We start from the raw sequence: 20,393 nt of genomic DNA, 5'->3' as shown, positions 1-20,393 counted from the left end.
ATTTATTTATTTATTTTGAGACAGAGTTTCACTCTTTTTGCCCAGGCTGGAGTGCAGTGGCATGATCTCGGCTCACTGCAACCTCTGTCTCCTGGATTCAAGCCATTCTGCTGCCTCAGCCTCCCAAGTAGCTGAGGTTACAGGCACCCGCCAACACGCCCAGCTAATTTTTGTATTTTTAGTAGAGAAGGGGTTTCACCATGTTGGCCAGTCTGGTCTCAAACTCCTGACCTCAGGTGATCCACCCGCCTCAGCCTCCCAAAGTGCTGGGATTACAGGCGTGAGCTACCGCGCCTGGCCCACATTTATTCTTTAAATCATCACAGACAACTAACGGGTATTATGTGAAACTAAATAAAATTGCTGTTTTTGTAGGTCAAAAACACTTCAATACTGGCGAATGGTGTAGTTCAACCTGATCTGAGCATACAAAGTACTTAGCACCGTGCATACATGGAGTCAATACCCAGTAAATGTCAGCCATCACCTTACGACTTGGCCACACCTCCCTCACTCTTCTATTGAGGTGATGTTATTTCGGTTTTCCTTGTGAGGAAGCTCAGACTCAGAAAAGTTCAGGAACTTGCCCAGGGACTCACAACTCCTAAGCAGCAGAGCCAGAAAGCGCAAGCATCCTGATCTCTCTTCCTTACTACGCTAGCACACTGCTTGCACTCAGTCAGAGAGAGAGGCCAGCAAGGAGGGATGAGCCAACCCAGGGAGAGGCTGGAGCCCAGCCCCTCTGCCCTGCCCCACTGGGGGCCCCTAGAAGCTGGACCCCTCCCAGAAGCTTCCCAAGACCTCATGCCCCCTGCGTGGGGTCAGAGTTCAGGGAACCAGCCTCTTGGGGGAGATTAAAAAAAAAAAAACGCTGCCCAGAGAGCTTGAGTCCAGAGCCCAGGAGTGGGAGGGGTGAGGCATTGTCTATATAAGGACACATTTTCCTCTCAATGTAGAGGCCCCCCACTTCCTCACACCTCCATCTTCCTCCCCCACACTTCTTTGGGGACACAAGCAAAGGACTTCAGCCTTGGGGGCCTAGATCTAGAAATGGAGTTTAATTTCATCACAAAATGATTAAAATAGAAAATACAAGCTGCTCTTAAACTTATATTACTATTATTTTTATCCCCTGGGCAGCCATGTGAGCACAAAGCTGGTTTTGATTAGGCACATGGCCCTTCGAGCCCACTCCTTGCTGCAGTTCGCATGGAGGTCTGCTGGCTCCGCATCCCTGGCAGGGCCCCGTGGTGCATGCACAGCCCCACCGTGCTGACACTTCAAGTGGAGCGCGGCCACCCCCTGGGGCTCCGAGTCTGGGGTGTGCCTAGTTTGAAAGGGGGACTTCAGCCCCTTTCCTCATGGCCAGATGGAAAGATAAAGTGCTGCAGAAACTTCTAAAAATAAGACTCAAAGCACATTACAGGGTAGTGTACTGACACGTCCAGTGAAAACCCAGCACCCTAGGGCCGAGGACGGAGGCAGAGGCAGATGGGGCAGGGCAGGGAGTGTTTTCTGAAGGTGGAAAATTTTAAAGCTGATTCAGAAGGAGGTAAGGGAATGTGGCTATCAAGAGGAATTAATTCATAAGTGATCATTTTCATTTTCTTTTTTTTTTTTTTTTTTTCATTTTTTGGAGACAGGGTCTCACTCTGTCATCCATGCTGGAGTTAAGTGGCATGATCACTGCAGCGGCACGATCATTGCAGCCTCAAGCTCTGTGGGCTCAGGTGATCCTCCCACCTCAGCCTCCAAAGCAGCTGGGACTACAAGCACATGCCACAGTGCCTGGCTAATTTTTGTAAATTTTGTAGAGACGGGGTTTCACCATGTTGCCCACGCTGGTCTTGAACTTCTGGGTCCAAGTGATCCAACTGCCTTGGCCTCCCAAAGTCCTGGGATTACAGGCGTGAGCCACCACGCTGGGCTGATAAATGATCATTTCCTGCTTTCCAAAACACCGTTGCATGTGTTCTCTCCTTTGGGCGTCAAAACACCATGAGGTAGAGAAAATAAGTGATTCCCTTGTACAGATGTGGAAACAGAGATGGGACAGTTTAAATTATTTGCCCAAGTTCCCAAGGTTGCTGATGACAAAGCCAAAGCTAGAGCTGTACTCTCTTGGCCTCTACTGTGGTGATGCTTGGAAGTAAAGCCCAACACAACCCCATGAGGACGAAAGGAGTCTCAGTACCTGCTGCCCTTCTTTCAGGAGCCCAGGAAAACTGGGCCTCTCATACTTTGCTTTCTTGTGCCTCAGCTTACTCATCAGTTAAAAAAGCAAACCTGATCCTTCTTCTTCTCCCTCCTCTATGCTCCAAGACTCACCAGGAGAATGAGTGCTGAAGCCAAGGAGTGCAGAACTGCATACATAGTCTGCCCTGTACTCCTCTTCCTTAAGAAGGGCCGGGTGCCGTGGCTCACGCCAGTAATCCCAGTACTTTGGGAGGCTGACGCAGGCAGATCACCTGAGGCCAGGAATTCAAGACCAGCCTGGCCAACATGGCGAAACCCCATCTCTACTGAAAATACGAAAAATTAGTCAGGCGTGTACTCAGGAGGCTACTCAGGAGGCTGAGGCATGAGAATCACTTGAACCTGGGAGGCAGAGGTTGCAGTGAGCCGAGATCATGTCACTGCAGTCCAGCCTGGGTGACAGAGTGAGATTCCATTTCAAAAAAAAAAAGGGGCCAAACAAAACAATTACTGGGTACACCTTTCTTTACATTGTCATTGGTGACTGTTAGAAATGCTGGTCTTCAAGGAAGGGAAGAAGGGAGAGGCCCGGACAAGGGAAGCTTAGACTGACTCCATGCCCCTGGTTTATGGCACCCTCATCCCCAGATATCAAGGGGAGGCTCTGCTAGGTTTTTCTGCCTCTTGGAATAGTCCTGGAGCCACTCCCTGCGCACTCCCTGTGCTTGAGGAGAGACGAGGAGTTTTCTGTTGGCCAAATATCAGTCATCCATGGAGCTTCTGGATCATATCGTGCCCAGACCCCAACCCAGACCAATGAAACCAGGACCTGTGGGGTGTGATACCCTGGCACACGTGCTTCTAACATACAGCTGAGGCTGAGATCCACCGAGGCTGACAAATAACTATGTCCAGAGGATTTTTCTGTAGCTGAGAATGACCACGATCCTTGGGGAAAATGTCCAGTGTAAGAAAATGAAATCATCCCTGCCCCATGGCTTTCTGCTTCTCTGTGTCCTCATGGAACTGGCATGCTGGGTTACAGGCAGCCTCCTGAGGAGCTTAAGAGTGTCCACTCCAGATAGCAGGGACCCCTGATGTGCCATCTGGGGCTCCTTTGCCCGTATGGGAGGTGGCAGGAGTTCAGCTTGCAGTGGGGAGTGGAGGCAAGGGAGCGTTTTGGTGTCAAGTGCTACTTGAAAGGGTTGCTTTGGCTGTCTGCTCCCCCCAACACCCCGTCACATACTGCTAAGTAGTCCTACTTAAGGCCCACAATGGTGCATGCAGGGCTTTCGGCTGTCTTTGGTGGGGGATTGCCCCCACAGCCCCCGGAGGCCTGTCTGCTTCTGAGCTGCCATGAGCCTGCAACACCCGCACAGGGCCTCCTCCCTGGATTACCCATAGCAGAGAGGAGGCAGGCACTAGGTTGGGAAGAAAGCCTATCGGGGTGATGATGAGCAGAGGGACTCATGCAGGCAGATCCATGTTCTGGAGAAGGCGAGGGGCCTAAATGCCTCCCAGAAGGAGAAATGCATCCAGAGGCAGCTCAGAGTCCACTTGCTGGGAGAAGTATGTTCCCAGCCCCCAGTTCTGCTCCCTGCGCCCACCCCTCAGAGCCCCAGGAGCCCAGTCTAGGCAAGATCAGCCCTGACTGCCAGTCCTGGAGGCGGACCATGAGAGGGCACTTCCTCCCCAGCCAAGCCTCAGGAATGTGGCGGAGCCTCTGCTGGAAAGTCCCCCCACCCACCCCCACCCCCACTTAGCTTCCTCTCCTCAGGAGCAGGAAAAGGATGCCCAGGGAGGGGGCTTCAAGGGGGAGACTCTCTCAGCGCCGTCCCCAAAGAGTGCTCCTTGTGGGGAAAGGAAGGCCAGTGAAAGTGCTGGGGCCCAGTGATAGCCACTCAACCAGCTCCTCCTTATCCCAGTTCCTGGATGGTTTCCCCATAGTGTCCTGGGGGCCAGTGAGGGCCTTTCCACCCAGCCCAGCCCAGCCCAGCCAAGTGATGTCGCCCTGCTTGCCCTCCATGAGGAAGGGTTTCCTCTGGCAGAGGGAGTGTGGAACAGAGCCTGAGGGCAGGCACCGCCCAGCATCTTTAGGTCCGCCCAGCAGGCAGCTGTGCCCAGCTTCACTGGGCCTGTTGGGGGAGGTCTAGCAGAAGCCCCACAGTGGGGCCTAGACCCCGTCTCAGAGGTGGGAGGCATGCTGGCTGTGTGCTCAGAGGCCTCCGTTTGGTTTGTCACTGCAAAGTTTGGTCTGCAGAAGAAAGTCAGAGAAATCAGAAGCTGTGCGCCACCTCTAGTCCATGATCCCAAGGGCGGGGACCCTGTCCCCTCCCGCCCCTGTTGGAGAGGAGACCCAAGATTTCTAGCATGAGGGAGACAAGGCCTGATGGAGGAGAAAGCCAGGGAAGGTGAGCAAGGGGTGACTCTGCCAGCAATGGCATTCCGGGGGAGCATCCCAAGCTCCCTGGGCAGCCTGTGCGCTCATCTTGCCAAGGTGACGGTGCTGTCCCCACTGGATTAATCAGGCCCAGGGTAGTGGACGGTCCTTCTTTGATGCTCTCATGGAGAGTGAAATAGGTTGCCTGGACACAGGCGCTGTTCTGCCCAGCGGGCACAAAGGGCCCTCAGAGTTGGGGAGGAGTTTGGCTGAGGTGGGATTTTGACTGAGAGACCCCCTTTGCTCATTTCCTCAGCAGCTGCTAACATTTATTGTTACCTGTTTCATTCCAGATGCTCCAGCCAGTGAGAACACCAAGGCCCCAGAGATGAAATCCCGGAGGCCCAAGAGCTCTCTTCCTCCCGTGCTAGGAACTGAGAGTGAGTACTCGCCCAGCTTCACCAGGCAGAGGCAGAGGCAGGGGCAGGCACCCCGGGGACTGAGGGCAGCCTCAGAGCCCCCACTTTCTGGTCACTCACTCTTGCCTGAATCCCTGGAAGTCTGATGTCTGCCCACACCCTGAAGTGCCCAGTGAACTCCCAATAACAGAGCCAGTGGCCTTTTCTCACCCCATCCCAGTGCTCTCTCCAGCCTGTCTCCAGCCTGGGTGGTGTTGCACATCTCATCTGAGCTCCTATCTACCTCCCCTGCCCAACCTCCTTCATGCCCTTTCACTTCCCACCAAGACTCTAGGAGAGCTCCTCCTAATTTCTCCCCAGTTGATCCTGCCCTCCCAGGGGCTCTTTCTGGATTGTAACTCTGATCTCATCACTCCTGGTTGAAATATGCAGTGGCCCCCAGAGCCTGCAAAACCCACAAGCAAAGCTCCACATGTTAGTGCCGAGGACATACCTAGCTCGCATGTGCACACGTGGTCCCACATGTGGCCTGCCCCCCGCCTGTCTTTCCCGGTGCTGCCCCCAGCTCCTTTACTTCTATTTTATACTCAGGCCAAACTGAGCTCTTCACTGCACACTACACAGCCCCCAAGTTCCTTCCTTCATGCCTTCTCTGGCACCTCTCTCCATGGGACACCTTTCTGCCAAACTCCTCTGAAAAGTCTCTCATCCCTGAGTTCTTCCTCACCTCAGCTCCCACAGTGTCAGCACCTGGCTCCTCCACTACCTCCTTCCCAATGTCACGGAGATGTGTCTGGGTCTCATCCTCCCTCCTCCATTGTACAGGGTCTGTTCAAGCAATTACCTTTCAGAATGACACATGCTGCGCCTTGCTCGTGGAAGGCCCTTCCCAGTTTCTCTTAGAGTCAAATCGCAGTGTGGTATAAAAAGCCAAGAGAGAAAGGAGCCTCTCCGTGACCATAGGCAGCTACCTCCCTCTTTTTGGATCTCAGCTTCCCCGTAGCCCACACATCCATTAGGCACCATGCGTAGGGTCCACAGTGCTTTTACAGGCCTGCCAAATGCTGTAATATCTTATAAAATTAGAAGAAAAAAGGGAACTCTTAAGTCAAAGAAAAGGTTTTAATTCATGACATGAATATATTCATCTTTATACCCATGCAGTTAAAAGTGTAGTTTACATAATTCAAATATAATACTTGATATGTAATTAAATCTATTTACTTTTTTTTGGTGGAGGAGGGGGCTATAAAGGCAGAAGTGCCTCAGAAGTCACAATGTCACCCTGGCTTCCCTTATAATTTTTAATCTAACTTTGACAGCAGAACTACCCTTTGAAAACTACAATTTCAACAGAGGGTGCAGAGTTGCTTGAACATCCCCAGCACATGCTGTGTTTTAAAACAAACAAACAAAAAACAAGATGAGCTCCTAATTGCCCGTACTGATAGGGGAAAATAATTGAGCCGGGTTAACTCAGACTACAATCTTTTTCCATTACAATGCAGTGTTTTGTGACTTTATTTTATTCTTACCTTCCTAATGATGAACTTGGGTTCCTCAAACATACCCCAGCCAGGCTGTTGGGGGAACTCAGCCTTCAGTATGTTGGGGCAGAGAAATTGGAATTAATTTCTCATTGATACTTAACCAAGGTAGATAGCCTGAGAATATCAAGAATGGACATTTAATAAGTTGTTGGAAATGCATACATAATACCAAGAAAAATCTGGTGAGAATGGGTTAATAATTTTATCTTCCAAAAATATTCCTTGGACCTGTGCTATACTTGGTATGGAAAACCGTGAGCAGAAGAGATAGAGAATGTAGGAAGGGCACCAGGGGCTGTGAATTGGGGCTATGGCATGGCTGTCCCCGACTCCTGGGTGCAGAAGCTACAGGGCAGGTATTGATCTGGTGGGCAGCCTCCAGCCCTCAGCTCCAGCACACCCACTCCAGTGAGCCCCTGAGGAGGTGAGATGGGGTCAGAGCCGAGCTGTGGAGGAGGAAAACAAGCTTGAGATGATGAGCAGAGCAGGAGCTGGGCTCTCTGCCCTGAGAACAGAAGGCTGTGGAAACCCCATGCAAGCTGTCACTGTCCGAGTCTGGAGCAGCAGCTCGCACCCCTGGCTGTGTGTTATATTCACCTGGGGAGCATTTAAACCACTGCCGCACAGGCTTCCCCTGCCCCCAGACCAATTACATCAGAATCTCAGGGGTGGGTGCCAGGCCTCAGTATTTGTTCAAGCTCCAGGTCACGTCATGTGCAGTCAAGCTGGAAACCAGCTGTTCCAGGGAGAAACCTGGTGCCCACACTGTGGGTCTTGAGAAGCAGAAGGGGGTCTCCCCTGCTGCCTCTGTTAAGTGTGGAACTGCCTCGGGGACCCTCACATCAACATCCTTAGGGTATCATGTTGCCCAGAGAGCCGAACAAGGCACCTTGTGGTGGAGAAGCTGGAAGCAGGGAATGAAGCTCAGTCTGAGTTAGTGGGGGAGCAGCAGGCTAGTAGCAAGTGCTTCATCTTTACAGAAAACACACATTCATGACTGGATTAACTCCAGTAGACCCCACTTGGATTTCACTCTGTGTGCAGAGCCCCCATGTTGGAATTTCAGACATCTTGCTCCTGAAAGAATGGGAGTGTGTGTCTCTACACACTCCAAAGTCATGGCCACTTTGTACCCTTTTGCTGGCCCACCCTCCAATCTCTGTTACTCCAAACCTGCTACCCCAACACTGAGAGCGGTGCCAGGCTGGCTCTAGCTGCCCTCCACCTGCTTGCACCCCTGCACTCTTGTCCTTCAGAAGCCTGTACCCTGGGGGCCTGAGAGATACCCTGGGATTTGTTTCTGGAGCCTCCTGAGAAGCTCCTGAGAAGGCAGCTGCCCAGAGATGGGAAGTGAAGGAGATGTCTTGTTTTGTTTTTTTTTTTTTTTTTGAGACAGAGTCTCGCTCTGTCACCAGGCTGGAGTGCAGTGGCGCGATCTCCGCTCACTACAACCTCCGCCTCCTGGTTTCAAGCGATTCTCCTGCCTCAGCCTGCCTAGTAGCTGGGACTACAGCTGCGCACCACCACGCCCAACTAATTTTTGTATTTTTAGTAGAGATGGGGTTTCGCCATGTGGGCCAGGATGGTCTCGATCTCTTGACCTCGTGATCCGCCCGCCTCAGCCTCCCAAAGTGCTGGGATTACAGGCGTGAGCCACCGCGCCCGGCCGAAGATGTCTTTTAGATTTGCACCCATTCTTTTCTCCCTTTGGAGGATAATTGTTAGTTTATTGATTATATACATTATATATGCACACATTCTTATTTAACCATTTTAAACAATATAGAAATATACTATGTACAACATGAAAGTCCTCTTTCATCTCACCCCAATTCTACTCACGCCCCAAAAATACTCAGTGACTTTTTTCTATGCATTTTTATATACAGGCACAAGTACATCAATTGGATTTTTGTCCCACAGAGATGGAATTGCACAGTCTGTATACCTCTGCAACTTGCCTTTTTTTCTTAGCTTTGCCATCCCCAGTCCCAGACACCTCTGATTCCATGAGTGATCTGGCTGTGTGTGTGTGTGTGTTTGTGTGTGTGTTCCTCTGTGTCAAGGGCTGAGAAGTACCTAGTCTAAGAGGGAAATCCATCTTTCCTGAGGTGAGCCTGAGTGATTTTTTCATCAAATAGATCATGACCAGTTCCCTCTTCTGCACACCCCCCTCCCTGCTGAGCACTGACAAGCATGAGGGAAAAGCCAAGGGCATCCACCCCAACCCAAGCAAGGACGGGGTGAGAGAAAGCGGACAGAAGTACAAGTTAACCGGCCAGACACTGACTCACAAGTGCAGGAGGGAGGTGGGAGCAGCTTGGGAAGATTTCGGGATGAGGAAAACGGGGTCAGGTTATGGAGGAGGAGAGGAATGTGGTTTATGTGGTTTGGCTGGAGAGAAAATGATAACATCAGTTGGGGAGAAGGCAGACAGGGAGGAGCCACACAGATGCTGGAGTGAAGATTGTGAGGGCACCTGTCTCAGGACAGCTGCAGGCTGAACAAAATCAGAGTCTACCGAGTGCCTGTGCACTGGGAGCACCTTAGGAGCTCGATCTATGTCACTTCAGCCGAGTCTCACTCAACTGCGCTATAAATAGCTGTTCCCATTTTAGGGATGAACAAAACAGAGCCTCAGAGAACTAAACTGCCCTGTCCAGGGTCTCACAGCTAGTAAGATGTGGAACTGTGGTGCCAACCCTGACCTGCATTCTGGCCACTACACCCTGGCCTGGCTGCAGTCTCAGGATGTACTCTGTGTGTGTGTGTGTGTATATATATATATATATATATATATATATATATATTCATTTATTTATTCATTTAGATAGAGATAGGTACCTACCATTTTAGGCCAAATTGGAGATATCATGCCCTTGAATTCTAACTATGCTGTTGTCCTAAGAACATAACTACAATGCAATTATTGAAATCAAAATCAAAGAGTAAATTTGACATTGAACCAATACTGTTGTCTAATTGATTCATAGTCTACATTTATTGTCAATTGTTCTAATAATGTTCTTTGTGGCTATCTTTTTCTCCTGTTGATGAATATTTAATAATAACACTCCTAAAACACTTCGTGCACTCCTCCAGCCCAGAGTGGGTCCTCTCCTCCCTTTGGAGATGGAACAGGAAAGAAGTTCACAGGCCCAGGGGAGAAACACCCCACACTCTTCCACCTAAGCTGAGTAGGGCATGGGGAGACAGAAATACTCCTGTCGGACTCCAGGTGCCAACTTACTATGATCAGTTCTGGGGCAGCACTCAGGCACAAGACACAGCAAGAAAGCCAATGAGCAGGAGACGAAGGTCTTGGTTCTCCCAGTAGTTAAATATGTGGCCTTGGTCAAAGCCCTTCATTCCTCTGGACTTGGGCTTCCTTGCCAGTCAGATGGGGAGTTTCTCCAGCTGACCTCAGGCCTTTCCCAACTCTGACATCAGCATCAGCCCGTTGGATGGAAAGCTTTTGAGTGACACAGTTCAGTTGAGATTAATAACTCTCCTTCATATCATCTGAAGTGTGAAGGAGTCCAAAGCTACAGCAAGTATAGTTTAGGTCACACAGCAGCAAAAGTGTCCTGAGGGAAAGAGGCCTTAAGCATACAGGTTTAGGGGAGTCCCAGCTGGAGGGGGCCCAAATGGCCAGGGGAGTTCTTGGGAATTTTGCGTGAGGGGAGACAAGCATGCTGGCTGTGTAAAGGAGGCATTGATGGGGCTTAAGAAGTGGCCTTAGGAAATGCACATGAGGTGATGCCAGTTTGATACCAGACTCTGGGAGTTCCTCCTAGCAGTCTATATAAGCTGATGGTCTTTCAGAAGAGATATAAACGGACATCCATGTGGGGCTTTTACACCTTGAAGACAGAAACCAGGTCCTGTCCATCTCCAAAACTTCATTAGCTGGTCTCTCAGTAGGTTTATAATAAATATTTGATTTTTCAAACCAGTTCATAAGTTCCCATGCTCCAAGGGTCCCTGCCTCCACTGTGGTTCTGCCACTGGGGATGATGCCAATGGAACATCCCTTTGCAGTCCATGCCTGGCCTTGGCCTGAGCTTCACCTCTGACATCAGTCACTTTGGAACATCCCAGATTATGAGACTCTCAGATATCTTTGCCTAGACCTCCCATATGTGTCTGCCTCTAAAATGGAAAGTTGTGTCAATTTGAAAGCATCTCTGGATATTAAAAACTGTCCCTTTTCCATGCAAGATTTCCCCAGGATCAAATCTTTTTTTTAAACATTCCTCCTCAGGTCATGAGGAATGTTCAATCCTGATGGGATTCAAAAGGCTGGAAGAGAGGTTGGGATTTGGCATCAAGACTTGCCTGACAGTGAAAGATGTGGGGCCCTGGGAGAGAGGCTGGGCTATTTCCATGAATGTTTCTGAAAGCTGGCACCAACTCCCAGTTACTCCCAACCAAAATGTGGGTCTGGGAGGAGGAATAGTGCCTACCTGGCACACTCCCACCCACAGGCATGTGACCCTATGACTTCCACCCACTACTCCTCCCAACTCACCCAGTGTCTCCCATAAGCCAGTGAACTGGCCAGAGGGGAGACCTGGAAGGTACCCACCAAGCAATGCTGGCACCCCTGGCCCAGCACACCTCTTTCACAACCATCCTGATGCTCTGTGTCCTGGGGGTTTGGGAATGGATGTAATCAGAGGAGCAGTGTTTCTTTGCAATCTCCTTATGTGACAGCCCTTGCTTTGAGGAAGGTGAGCAAGAAATTTGCCCAGAGATGTTAATTCTGGGAAAATGACCAATATTCCTCCACGTATCTGTAAGCATGTACTGGATGAGACCAGCGTATACAGTAGGGGAGTGGGTCAGGTCACCCAGGGCCAGTGTGGTAGGACTCAGCCTTCCATCCTCAGGTACCCCCACCTCCTTCCTGCTCCGATACAGCCTCATGGGGTGGGTGCTCACTCCATGCTCAACCCAGCTGGAGTCCTTTTCAGGAGCCTTTGGCAGAAAGTTCATGCTGATTTTGGGAATTTTGAAGGATTTGATGTCTATTTTTAACTACCTACCTAAAAAGGGAAATGTCCCCAGAGAGGCAGACATCCAGGGACCTCCCTGTACCCAAGGCTGGTAAGGCTAGTTCCCTAATTCTCCTTTGCTTTCCATTATCTCAGACCTTTTGACTCCGTGAGACCCACCTTCAGGCTCTGCACCTATCTTGCAAATGTTTACTCTGGTCTCTCTGCCCTGCTGATTTTCCATGTTTCAGAGCGAGGCATTCAGGTGCCTTCAGACTGAGCATCTGGAAACTTCTGTGGGTTACTGACCTCCTTTTTTTTCCCCAGGACTAGGTTAGGGCTTGGGTCAGCTGGAACAGATTACCTGAACAATTAGGAGGCTGGCCTCCCCACCCCTGCCCCAGGTTTCCCAGGAGGCTTCCAGATCCAATGCTTTGATTCATGTTTTTATTGGGCTATTTCACTTCCTCTAATATCAATCTCCTATCTAGAGTGGAAGGCTCAGCACCTGGCAGCTTTGATCCCAGAGGGGACAGCAGAGACTGATCCTTTTCATAGAAAGTTATATAAAAATTCAAGCCCCAGGGCTATATTTCTCAGCATCAGTGCCCAGGGCTGGGGGAGAATGTTCCTTGGGAATTCCCGGGTTAACAGAAATCCTTGAGGGTTTCACTCATTCCTTTAATGGCCATTTATCAGGCATGTGCCAGGTACTATGCTAGGCACTGCAGATACAGAAGGTAGACCCTATCCTTGTCCCCAGAAGCTTGCCGTGGTGTGTCCATGTTGGGGACAGGTTTCTGAAATAGCGGTGCCTGATGAATGCTGTGATGGAGCTACCTCAGAGGGCCATGAACCCCGTGGGGCATTAGTGGTGCATGAGCTGGGGCGACCTGCCCAAAGAATATGCAAGAGCCATCCAAGAGAAGAGGGCCCAGCATGTGCAAAGGAGCGAAGGCAAGAGCCTGGTGTTGCAGAAACTGAAAGACATTCCATGTAGATTACAGAGCAGTACTTCCCAAAGGAAGGTGCAGGGACCAGCAGCAGTAGCAGCACCAGCACCTGGAAGCCAAGAATCTATGTTTTTATTAAGTCTTCCAGGCAATCATAATGTAGGCTAAATTTTGAGAACCACTGATATTGAGTATTGAGGTTGTGATGAAAGTTGTTCCCTCTTGGGAAAGCAAGCAAGAAAGTTGGGGATGAAAGCCAGGGACAGAGCTCAAAGACCTCGTAAGATGAGTTGAATTTGATCCTGAGTGGCAATGGGCAGCCACTGAACAGGTTCAGGCAGTGAAGTGACATCATATTTGCATTTGAGAAAGATCACTTTGGCCACAGAGTGACAAATGTGACGGGGGACAGGGGACCAGAAGCCTAGGAGGTGATGCAGTTGGGACTACAATGCTGATGGTGGGAAGGTAGAAATTGGCAGACTGAGGAGGTACTTAGTTGGTGTAGACAACAGGCATTTGTCAGTGGATATGGGCAGGGAGGGGGCCTTGGGAGAAATGGGGACAGGGAGCAGGTTTGGGGAAAAGGTCTTGGATTTGGTTTTGCACGTTTGGCTGGCAGTACGTGTTTGGCATCTCCCTGGGAGATGATGGTCAGGTAGTTGGATGTATTGGTATGGGCTCAGGAGAGAGGTCTGGCTTCAGGGGAAATGGAGGAAAGAGAATAGGGGATAGAAAGAGGAGCTCAAAGGGCAGCGATGAGCACAGTACCCCGGGGCAGTGCTCTACCAGGAAGGATGTGCTGCCTGGGCTGACTGCCTAAAGGAGGTGGCTGAGCCCCTCTTCAGAGGAGCAGCCTGAGTAGGGCGTGCTCTGCCCTCCCTGCCTGTCCCATGGCCAGCAGCCATCATGGAGTTTGCAAAGGTGGATGGGTTTTATTTTCCTTCTAGGATGTTCCTCTCTGACTGGCTGGTACACAAAGTTTAGGGTGTCAGAGAAGAGGATGAGAGACACAGGGCTGACAGGAATAATAAGATAATAAGAGTGACTCCAGAGGAGAGGAAACTAGTTAGTGAGCCAGGGAGTACTGTGAGTTTGTTTGGGCATCTGGACCTGCAGAATGTCCCCTCTTCTGAGGACCTGGACTGGGGAGAAGAAGCACAGGTGCCACATGAGAGCTCTCAGGTTAGTGTAAGGCTGAACTGACCAACAGGGTACCACATAGATGAAAGGGCCAAACTTGTCCCAAAGGACAGAGAAGTCCTCTGGGGATCTGTTTGTTTCAGAGAGCGGGGGAGTGGGGGGAGGGGCTGATGTTAGAACATGCACTGAGGCTGAGCATGGTGGCTCACGTCTGTAATCCCAGCACTTTGGGAGGCCAAAGTGGGAGCTCACTTGAGCTCAGGAGTTTGAGACCAGCCTGCGCAACATAGTGAGTCTCTACAAAAAATTAGCTGAGTGGGTGCTGAGATGAGGATCACTTTAGCCCAGCAGGTCGAGGCTACAGTGAGCTGTGATCATGCCACTGTACTCATCTTGGATGACACAGCAAGGCCTTGTGTCAAAAAAAAAAAAAAAAAAAAGAAAAGAAAAAAAGAACATGCTGCACTATATGCTATACTTCCCTTACAATGTAGCTTAACTCTTTACAACAAATTTTATTTATTCCATACCCTGGGTGGCAGGAGGCTCAGATCCCATTTCCAGCTCCAGAACATCAGGTTTTATGAACCTAGCAAGTCACCAGACTTTTATGAGATGCCATCTCCTTTTTCATAAAATGGAAACATTATGATACTCCCTGCTGTGTTTGATTGGGATGAGAACCAAGTGAAATGCTCCCTCTGAGAAACCGGGTTTTAGAACCAGGTGCTTTCCCCTATAAGCCCAGCACACAATTAGTGGATTTCAGCAGATGGTCATATAAAATATGTATAGAATAGGATATAAAACATTGTTAACGCTTAAATTGTTTTTACTGATAGGAACCAAGCCAGTTTCAAATGCTAACCAATTCAAACAATGGTAGCTCCAAATTTACAGAACAAACATAAAAATTTGACCTTCAATCCTATTTAACCATGACACTGAAAGATTAGTTAGGGCTTCTCTTCCAGTCAAATGGGTTTACCCAGAGCCACCAAGTATGGGGCAGGACTTTGGAGTCCCCTGATTTCATGCTGTGCTCCTAGCTCATCACCCCAGGGATTGTCAGCCTCCTTCTCACACCTGGTGCCCACCCCACTGGTGCCCACCCCACTAATGATGCCCATCCACAGCTATATTAGTCTTCTAGGGCTGACTTAACAAAGTACGGCAGACTGGGTAGCTTAACCACAGAAATTGATTCTCACAGCTCTGGAGGCTAGAAGTCCAAGATCGAGGTTTCTGCTTGAAAATGGCAGTCTTTCCCCTGTGTCCTCACATGTTCTTTTCTCTGTGTGTGCATTTGTCTGGTCTCTCTCGCTCTCCTCCCTCCTTCTCCCTTCCTCCCTCTTTCTCTCTCGCTCCTTTCTCTCTCTCTCTCTCTCTCTCTCCTCCCCCTGCCCCTGTCTCTCTTCTTCCTAATCTCTTCTTATAAGGACACCAAATTGGACTATGGCCCACCCTAATGGCCTCGTTTTAATTTAATTACCTCTTTGAAGGCCCTATTTCTAAATACGGTCACATTCTGAGGTACCAAGGGTTAGAGCTTCAACATGTGAATTTGGGGAGACACAGTTCAGCCCATGACAACAGCCCTCCACGTAGCTCCTCTGAACAGATGGCCTCCTCTCTCCAGAGATCATATCTGGGCTCCGGTAGAAGCCCTCTCTTCTTCCCTGGAGAGCTTCTCTCTTCCCAACAGTCCTGGACAAAGAGGGGCAGGGCCTTTGTGGCTCAGCCAGTCACAGGCGTCCCATATCCCATCTGGTCTCCCCCACCAAAGGATTTGGCTCCCCGTGCTCTTCCCTCTAGTGTCTTTGGGCTCTCTCTCTCCACTGTGCCCTAGCCATTGCCTTCCACCTTGTCATCTTCTCTCTTCTCTCACCTCAGAAGAAACCTGAGCTTCATATTCCCTCTTGTTTCCTTGCTTCTCTTTGTCCTTTCACCTCCAGGATCCTTGACTATTTTACTCCCCACTGTTTGCTCAAGAATCTCCTCTGGGGTGACTTTGGACCATGCTGTCCCATGGAACCTGGCCTCTCCAGCATCACCGTCTCTCACTCCATGCTGGGCACACCTGGTGCTCTTCCCAGCATCTGTCCTCTACCCTTGCTTGTGGCGACACTCCTCCTGCTCTCAGGGTCCTTCCACAGCCCTCTCCTGTGTCTCGGCTTCTTTACTGTGGACACACCTGGGATCAAACCCTGGCCTCCGCCCCTCTTTCATTGCATTCTCTTTCCCCAAAGAATTGACCCATCTTCAAGGTTTCCATTCTAATGGCTTCTTTAATTCTGGAATCTTTCACTTCCAGTCTCCACAAACTTCCCTCTGGAATTCTGATCCTGGGCTTCTAACCTACAAACAGATTCAAGCTGAAATATTAATCTTGTACTCCTAATTCTATATTCCTTCAATATGACTTTCCACGTGTATCTATGCAAGAAATCTCAAAGTAATCTGTGTACCTCCTTCTTGTTTAGCCCCTTAAATTATTTTAACTTTCCTCTGCCTCTCATTTGCATCTTCTTTTCTGCATGGATCTTGATCAGTGCCTTCCAAGGTATGGCAATAGCCTCCTAATTGGATCTGTCCCGCAAGAGCTGGAAAGACCTATCAGGGACCTCTAGCCCAGCCTGACTGCTGTTTGAGTGAGGACATGCTGTTCAATCAGGACAAAGCCTTAGCTCGTGAGCTTAGCATTTGAGGCCAGCACTGTCTAACAGAACCCTCTGTGATGAAAGAAATGTCCTACGTCAACACAATGTGATAGCTACTAACCACCTATGGCTATTGAGAACCTGAAATGTGACTAGTGCAACCAAGGAATCAAATTTTTAATTTTCTTTCTTTTTTTTCTGAGATAAGGTCTCTCTCTGTCACCCAGGCTGGAGTGTAGTGGCAAAATCATAGCTACTGTAACCTCGAACTCCTGGGCTCAAGCAATCCCTCCCAAGTAACTGAGACTACAGACAGGCACCACCATACCTGGCTGTTTTTATTATTTTTTACAGAGACAGGGTCTTGCCGTGTTGCCCAGGTTAGTCTCGAACTCCTGGCCTCAAGTGATCTTGCCACCTCTGCCTCCCAAAGCGCTGGGATTACAGGCTGAGCCACTATGCCTCACCTTAATTTTATTTAATTTAGAGTGCCCACTATCCTCATACCACTGCTGTCCAATATCAGCCCTGTGCTCTGCCAGCCTCCACCAAACATCACCCTGATTCTCACCTCTGAGCCACTGTCTATTCCTGACCTGTGGGTTCTCCTCTTTCTCCAGTTCAGACCTTCCCTAGCCTTCAGGTCCATCTTACATCCTGTCTTTTAGCCTTCTAACTAACCATCTCCTCCACCAACAGTGTTCCTTTTCCATTCAAACAGCCACATCACGTTGACTGAATAACATCTTTTTTTATAACTTTCTATTTAACTTTTATCTTGAAATAATTTGAGACTCACAGAAAAAATTGTAAAAATAGCATGAAAAATTATTGTATATACCCTTCATCTAGATTCCTCAAAGGTTAACATTTTACTATGTTTGCTTTTTTTTTTTTTTTTTTTTTTGAGATGGAGTCTCGCTCTGTCACCCAGGCTGGAGTGCGGTGGCACGATCTCAGCTCATTGCAGCCTCTACCTCCTGGGTTCATGCAATTCTTCTGCCTCAGCCGCCTGAGTAGCTGGGATTACAGGCGCACACCACCACACCTGGCTAATTTTTCTATTTTTCGTAGAGATGGGGTTTTGCCATGTTGGTCAGGCTGGTCTCAAACTTCCGACTTCTGGTGATCCACCCGCCTCAGCCTCCCAAAGTGCTGGGATTACAGGTGTGAGCCAATGCACCTGGCCTTGCTTTTTCATATATTCTTTCTCTCCCTCTCTTTTTCCATTTCTCTGTTCCTTCTACTTCTCCACACATATATACATGTATATATACACACACATATATATGTATATACCATGAACAGTTTGAAAGTTGCACACAGGATACCCTCTACACCTAAATACTTCAGTGTGTATTTCCTAAAAACAAGAACAATCTCTTATAAAGCCACAGTTTGATGATCAAAACATGAAATTAACACTAATCCAATACTATCCTCTAATTTATTGACCTTATTCAGATGTTGCCAGTTATCCTATAAATGTCCTTTATGGCAAAAGAAAAAAAAAAAAAAGCCTTTCCTCTTTCCTGTGGACCACGTCTTGATATTTAAGACCTTGAGGCCTGATTTCTTACATTGTTTGGTTTCCTCCTCAGTACCCAGGTTAGTCGTGTGTACTGACTAGCATTTGCCTGGCACACAGTAGGCCCTGAGTAACTTTTTGGAGATGGACGGATGGATCAATGATGACAATGAGCCAGAGGGAACCTGGTGGAAGCCCTCATCCTGGGCTTAACCACACAGCCGGCAGCCATCAGCTCGGTGATCTCAGTGTGCCCCTGCCAGGGATCACTGCCTCACGCAGTCCTCCTGGGGCATTCACTGGGCAGCAGCACGTGTCCTGTCGTGGAAATGCACAAGTTCCACAAGTTACTAATTTGCCTGTGGTCACAGGGCAACCCATATCCAAGCCAATGACACCGCTTCCCCTTCATCTGCAGAGGTGAAGTTATCTGGATGAATAATTGTTAATATTAGCCCACTCATTCATTCAACAAATCGTTATTGTGTGCCAGGCCCATTGATATACAGCAGTGAACCAAAAAAGTCCCTGGCCTCAAAAAGCTCACAGTTTAGGAGGAGGAGAAGGGCAGACAGTAAATAAATAAGTGAAGATATAGTTTTTCACATGGTGATAAGTGCTATGGGGTGGGAGGACCATAAAGCGAGATGAGAAGGATGAGGGGTGCTGGGGGCAGGGCTGCTGTTTGTATGGGGTGGTTAGGGAAGATCTCACTGGTGAAGTGGCTTTTCCTCATTTTTTATGTTAAGGTATAATTTCCCTGCAGTGAACTTCACCCTCTTTGGTGCACAGTTCCGTGAGTCTTGATAAATTAATGTCATCATGGACTCCCAGCATGGTCAAGATCTGGTTCTGTCACCACAGAACATTTCCCTGTGCCCCTTTGCAGCCCACCCCTCCCCCACCCTACCTCTGGCAACCATTCATTAATCTGTTCTCCATTCCTATAGTTCTGCCTTTTCTAGAATGTCGTATAAATGGAATCATACAGTATGTGACCTTTTGAATTTGGCTTCTCTGAGCAGAAGAAAAAGAGAAATCATTGAGATTCATCCATGTTCTGTGTATCAGTAGTTTCTTCCTTTTTATTGGTGGCATCAAAGTGCCACAGTTCATCCATTTGGATACCTTCTAGTTTTTGGCAATTATGAATAAGGCCACTGCAAATATTCGCATACAGATATTTGTGTGCCTGTAGGTTTTCATTTTATTTGGATAGATAGGTTAGATGGCTTTTGAGCAAAGACCTGGAAGGGATTTGAAACAAGCCGTGAAGACAGCTCAAGATGTTTTCGCACGTGCACTATATTGTGATTTAGCCAAGTGAATAGGTTTGTGCTGCATGACTGTTCTGTTTGAGTCATTTTTCTCATTTGAGTTATTTGGAGGAAGTAAGAGTAAGAAGGGAGGAGACCATTTATTCATTCATCCATTCATCCATCCAACAAACTTTAAAAAAATGAAAGCCACCAGTCAACAGTCTGTGACCCAAAGGAAGCTTGCGACCCTTGGATCCACACCAAAGGCTAATTTTAGTTGGTTTATCTGACATGACATAATTTCCTTTCTGAGTTTCCTGAAAGTTAGGGTGAGAGAGTGGTTAATGAGTGTGGCATTATCGTCTTCGAAAAGGGCTATGGGAGCACGAGCATTTTAGAGAGTTTTTAATCTCATTGGAGGCTTCAGAGACCCTTTCATAGGTCCCTGAGAACTGATATTCTTTTTTGTCTGTGAGGTTGTCTGTGTGAAAGGGCAAAGTGATCTCTCAAAAGACATATTCATTTACTTTCTTTTTTCTTTTTTTTTTTTTGAGACAGAGTCTCACTCTGTCACCCAGGCTGGAGTGCAGTGGTGCAATCTCTGCTCACTGCAGCCTCCACCTCCCAGGTTAAAGCGATTCTCCTGCCTCAGCTTCCTGGGTAGCTGGGATTACAGGTGCACACCACCATGCCCAGCTAATTTTTTTGTATTTTTAGTAGAGATGGGGTTTCACCACGCTGGCCAGGCTGGTCTCAAACTCCTGACCTCTAGTGGTCCACCTGCCTCGGCCTCCCAAAGTGCTGAGATTACAGGTGTGAGCCACCGTGCTCAGCCTGAAAAGACATGTTCAAATAAGAGTCCTCCCTGGATGAGGGGCCAGTGGACAAGACTGCATCTTCCTAGGATCAGGAGCTTTGTGAAAAAAACAGAACTACAGGAAATAACTTGTGAACTTCTTTGTTTCAGGTGATGCGACTGTGAAAAAGAAACCTGCCCCCAAGACACCTCCGAAGGCAGGTAATTGGCCACGGCACTATCTGGGGTCAAAGAAGTCATCTACCATGGGGGTTTTGCCTTTACCTTGCTAGACTGACACCTGGGTATGTGATCCCAGGAGACACCCCACTGCAACCCCACCCCCACCCTCAGTTCCAGCTCTGCATTTTTCAGGCTGAGTTTGCTCATGGAGAGCCTCTGCACAGCCTGGCTCCTGGTCCCCTTCCACAGCTTTGTCTTTCCATCTGCCTCCCATGTTGACAGCATCATACAGGACTAGCAGCTCTCCTGCCTGCCCCTTCTACGAATTC

The 20,393-nt window shown here is 48.8% G+C and overlaps 1 protein-coding gene across 20 annotated transcripts in view, besides 1 other annotated feature; it reads left to right on the top strand.

Moving 5' to 3' along the window:
• The window catches only part of MYLK (myosin light chain kinase), a 274,284-nt gene that overhangs the window by 197,093 nt on the left and 56,798 nt on the right, over window positions 1-20,393 (top strand). For all 20 annotated transcript variants that reach the window (XM_047448184.1, XM_024453532.2, NM_001321309.2 and 17 more), the window contains 2 exons: window positions 4,930-5,016; window positions 20,053-20,103. In XM_047448184.1, the coding sequence (XP_047304140.1) occupies window positions 4,930-5,016; window positions 20,053-20,103 (138 nt within the window). The remainder of the gene's footprint in view (window positions 1-4,929; window positions 5,017-20,052; window positions 20,104-20,393) is intronic.
• Window positions 3,937-4,754: an enhancer, noted in NCBI's record as "H3K4me1 hESC enhancer chr3:123401333-123402150 (GRCh37/hg19 assembly coordinates)". NCBI's record gives its function as "activates a minimal SCP1, AML or CMV promoter by ChIP-STARR-seq in primed H9 embryonic stem cells {active_cell/tissue: H9 hESC(primed)}" and the evidence as "EXISTENCE:reporter gene assay evidence [ECO:0000049][PMID:30033119]".

The sequence above is a fragment of the Homo sapiens genome, chromosome 3 (assembly GCF_000001405.40).
Source record: "Homo sapiens chromosome 3, GRCh38.p14 Primary Assembly".
Lineage (NCBI taxonomy): Eukaryota > Metazoa > Chordata > Mammalia > Primates > Hominidae > Homo > Homo sapiens.
The sequence above is the reverse complement of the archived record's forward strand: the minus strand, read 5'-3'. Positions and strand labels throughout refer to the sequence as shown.